At 35.3% G+C, this 5,302-nt stretch overlaps 1 annotated feature.

Annotated features, from left to right (window-relative positions):
- Positions 2,382–3,133: an enhancer, noted in NCBI's record as "VISTA enhancer hs284". NCBI's record gives its function as "enhancer in: neural tube[6/7]" and the evidence as "EXISTENCE:transgenic organism evidence [ECO:0001131][PMID:17130149]".

The raw sequence follows: 5,302 nt of genomic DNA, 5'->3' as shown, positions 1-5,302 counted from the left end.
AGGCAAATTGTGTAAAAAGGCTGATAATACAGTGACGCCCAATGCCACTGGGCTTTAGAAAGCTGACAGTTCCTGTAAAATAGTCATTAAACAACCTCTAGAAGAGACTCATCAGCAGATGCCCCCAGGTGAAGGAGAGAGAAAGCTGAGAGAATGAAGGGGAATCTAACATCTTAGCATGACTGAATTAAACAGAGCATATTATGCTGATTTTCAGAGTCAGCCCAGTAATTTAATTTTCAGAGCAGTTCCTTTGATTGTAGCAACCATTTTATGAAACATTAATAAAACTTTGTGTGTGTGTGTGTGTAACACACATCTCTTTCCCATTTTATTAAGAAAAAGGAGTCAACATATTCAAATTTGCTGACCATTAGTTCTGTAAATGCCAAAAATAAAAGATTGTTGTCATTATTTTTGAAAAAGCAAAGGAACAGAATAACATAGCTCCCACTGTATTATTCCACAGTAAGCACAAAACAGGAAAAGAAAATAAAGTATATAAAGTTATTACATGTTAGTCTATGGGATTTTACATTAAGACTCTGAGCTAAATCAGTACTATAATATATAATCCAAATATAATTCTGTACTGCCCATGTAATGATGTCTACTATGCATCCAAATTAATTGTTGTAGAATATACATTGTCCTGTATACTGTTTATCAGATTTATATGGCAAATAGATATTTCTGGATCAAGATACTCACTGGATACTTGTTTTAAATGGTTTTCATTACACATTTTGAATAAAACAGAAGATTCACAGGTATGAATGTTTTAAACAAGGAAAAGACCTTTAAAAAATTAACACAGATGTGCCTCACTTTACAGAAAATGTGCATTCTTGAAATGCCCATCATAAAACTATTTTTTCTGCAAGTTAACTTATATTTTCTAATTTATTTCTATCATAAAACTGAAGATTCACTCTCACTGAAGTAATTTTTGGCCCAAAGACAATAATCACATTTAAGAATGAATCAATCCTTTTAAATCGGTGGTAAATTTTATATTCAAATCTAGCAATTATCCTTAGCTTGAGTATTTTCGTTCTGATTCTCTCTTCTCTTTTCATTATTTAATATTTATTATTTTACCCCTATTGTTACATGTCTTGTATTTCCCTCTTTAAAAATAATAAGCATATAAATAAATATGCATATGTAAATAAATAAATCAGAATGATCTTTTGAAGCAACACATACATAAAAATAAGATTTTTGTTAGTAAATAGTAAAAATAAGCGCACAAGGTCAGTCACAGCAAGGATGTGGGAAATGTCACAGGTACAGCAGCTATGGAGGACATTAGGCCCCAGAGACCTGCAGATGCTACGGGTGACTCATTGCAGACCTCACTGGGTCACTTGGCCTCTCGGAGACTTGGTTTCTTCATCCTTAAAATGATGAGGCCACACTAGAGGGTCGTTAAGGTTTCTTCATCATGATAGCTTCGTGATCCTGACAAGGGTGTTCTCTCTATGTTGGCATGGTTAGTACTTTATATAATTCTTGATGTGCTTATGAGTAATAATGTCTGTGTTAAACTTTTGTCAGTCTTTCCTTATAGCAAAATGGACATCATTAAAAGGTCATAGCCACATGTTATTAAATCCAAGAAGGCCATGTTCCTAATAGTGTATATGTGTTTAATAGATTATTTCTATATTTCATTTTCATTTTTTTGTACTGAAGGGTTTTTCCAGCTCTTCTGTTAAATTTTAAAATACCTATAGTTATTTCCATCCCATGTTCACAGTTTGGACCTTGATATTTGTTTCTATATTTGACACTCAAAATAATATCCAGTTAGCAAGCACAGAACTCAAATTCTCTTGGATATTACTGTTATATATAAAAGTCTGCAAAGGATTGTCAGAATTTGCTTCATCTCATTACACCAAACATGCTAATTAACTCTTTAAGTTCTATATTCTTACAAAATGAATAACCTGTTGGTAAAATCATAAAGATTCACATTTAAGCCTATACCTTAGGCACTTACTAAACACCAATTGTAAAATACCCATAAGATTAAGCATCACATATTCAGAGAAAAGGGAAATGAAAGTCAGTTGTTTAACAGACTTTCATCTGCAAGAGATTTTATTAGGAGCTTCTTTGCTATGTGCCAAGATATGAATGCCTGAATATAATTCAATTTTATACAAAAGAAAATTCCATTCAAATCTAAAGATAGAATATTTCTATTTCAAGTTACTTTTCACTAAAATACTGAAAAGAATTGAAACATAGCCATCCAAAATCCTAAATGTATAGAAGAAGTCTTCAAACAGTTGAAAAATAACTTTTGCAAATTTCTGGTACTGTGGTTGCCAGCAGAATAAGGCCAACTGTTCAGCTGGGTTAAGGTTAATTCCATGGTGTGTGGTAGGAATATGGTCAACTTACACATCAGAAGCAAACCTGGAGATTGCGTCTGGTCATTTTCCTGTATTTCTTTTAAAAGGGAAGCATAGTGTAGAAGCTCAAATGCCAGTCCTAAGTTACAAGATCTACTGGGCTACACTTTTTGCAACAGTTTAATCTCCATTGTTAGTCCCATGAAGAACAGCCCTGCCTTCTGTATTTTCTTACAGGGCTGCTTTTGATGGAGAACTTTGTGGATGTTTGTGATATTGCTCAGAGCCCATTGGCAGATGAGCATCTCTTGCTGTGGCCTCCATCATTATTTGCCTGTCTTGTCTATTAACGAGCACTATCATCCCATCGTGGGATGACAGCTGCAACACGTACTCAGGCGCAATAAACAGCTAAATGAGGCGCACAGCAATTTCACTTGTCACCAGCGCCCTCGGCACGACTGGCTGCACAGCTTGATGCATAAATTCATGAGGCTGTTGCATATGATGGAGTATGCTTGGCTGAAAGAGGTGATGGATAGCAGGGCAGCTAAAAATGGCCATCACCTTGACTCTGTCAGGACATTTTTTAAAACTACCCCATCAGCTTTCTTGTATTCAATGCACTATCATAGCACAGAAGACTCTAAGGTACCGATTTGATACTTTTCTTCAAAAAAGACTTCTTGAGAGTTTCTTTAAAAGGAAGTACCGTTATTAAGGTAGGTTACATTTATTCATCATTAGCTCTGATGCCGCTAGATTAAGTTATGTTTAAGAGTAGAATTTACTACTGCATACAAATCTTATAAATCAATTCAAGTCTTAATAATGGGGGAAAACAACAGGAGTTTAAAAACATTTCTAAATTATACATTAAGGCTGTGGATTGGTTAATATGAAATTTGAAGAATTAGAAAATATGGCATAGAATATTCAAACACATAGATTTGAGAGATAGAACTTCTATACAACTCATTAGAAAATTAAATAATATTCTGGGGCACATCTTTACATCAGTGTTGTTAGTGCACTTTCTAATCAGTATGCAAACACAAGCAAGGACTACTACTATGTAAAAGTGCCCACATCAAAGAAGCAGTGTTTTGGAGACCTTAACAAGAACCAACAATATAATGCATTCATTTCTCCAAAAATATCTCTTTAAACTCTTTTTCACTCAGCTGCCTGAACTCAAGCCAGAACTCCAACTTCCATAGGCGGGGCCCTGGGTGTCCCACTGAAACGGGCTATACATCCTTTATCTATGTTAGTGGAAGTCATCTAAGGAAGACAAATATAAAGGCAACAAAATCAATGAGGCAGTTTCCTGCAAAGCTTTATGCATTAATCTCTATCACACAGAGATATATATGCACACCAGTGCAAGGGAAGGAAGTCACTTGTTCTCTAATAAAAGAGAAAACCCTTGATAATAAGCAATTAATAAAGTTGTCATGATTAGTTATGCAACTATGAATCAACATGCACAGTAAAAATGACCACTTTCTATAGATATAAAATATCTATGATTCAATCTAGTGAAAATAGTCATTAATACGGGTGGTTATGGATGATTCTTACAGCTACTTTCCTTGTCTTTTTTTGTAATAAAATAGGAACTCCAGAATAAGTGTTACTGTAACAATTCAGATAGGAACTTTCTAGACCAGAGGGCAAATTCATTAGCCATTTCTTTTTTGTTCTTACCTACCTCTTTCCAAACTCATGTTTCTCAAACTCATATATCCTAAATCCCCTACATCTAGCAAAAGTATTTTAAAAGATAGTTAGAAAAAGTTGAAATCTGTAGGAGTAAATTGTATTAGTAATATGAATTCAATGTGCCATACCAAATGATGAAAAGAAATTCTCAAATAAACAGGAGAAAACTACTTTTGAATTATTTGGAAGTCAGGGGCCTTTTAAGGAGACAATTACTTGGCAAGATATCCAGTGATAACCTTACAACACTGTTCCAATATATAATCACCTGATTAGTCCAGGGACTAGGTGGATCTGATGTAGTAAAGGAGGCATGGACCATGGCCACTGGTAGGAAGAAGCAGACGGAGAAGAGAAACTTTGAAAAAATGGGGAAGATAAAGATGATTCTCTATCAATAAGACAAGAATTACAGGACACTGTGAATAACAAGCGTAATAATAAGAACATGCACTTGGTAGCTACATAATGCCAAATATTAAGGGGAATAGAAGGAGGTAAATGAGGCACTCAACTCTGGTAAAATATGTAAGGAGTGCCAAAAATTGAGTATTCAGGATAAATAATATTTTCATGTAATATATTTGCAATAAACTCTGCTTTTAAAAGCTCATGTTATTATCAACTGTGCCATATAACATAACATAATCATGAGAATGACATCTCAGAATATTCACAGGTTCTTGGGAGTAAGCAAGGACATCTTTGGGGGCTGCTTTAGAAATTCGGCCTACTACAATGATGAACAAAACATCAAAATTTTAAATGAAGATAGCATTAAAAATGGAAATTAGGGCCAAGGCGCGGTGGTTCACGCCTGTAATCCCAGCACTTTGGGAGGCCGAAGCGGGCGGATCACGGGGTCAGGAGATTGAGATCATCCTAACTAAGAGGGTGAAACCCCATCTCTACTAAAAACACAGAAAATTAGCCGAGTGTGGTGGCGGGTGCCTGTAGTCTGGGAGGCTGAGGCAGGAGAATCGTCTGAACCCAGGAAGCGGAGGTTGCTGTGAGTTGAGATCATACCACTGCACTCCAGCCTGGGTGACAGAGCGAGACCCTGTCTCAAAAAAAAAATAATAATAATAATACAAAACATTTATGATTTATTTGTTTCATTGTAGCATAAAAATTGCTACAGATTTAGTGGCTTAAAGCAACACTCATCTATTATCTCAAAGTTTGTGTAGGTCAGACGTCCATGATGATAT

Source organism: Homo sapiens, chromosome 6 (assembly GCF_000001405.40).
Source record: "Homo sapiens chromosome 6, GRCh38.p14 Primary Assembly".
Taxonomy (NCBI): Eukaryota; Metazoa; Chordata; class Mammalia; order Primates; family Hominidae; genus Homo; species Homo sapiens.
This window is presented reverse-complemented; position numbering and strand designations above follow the sequence as displayed.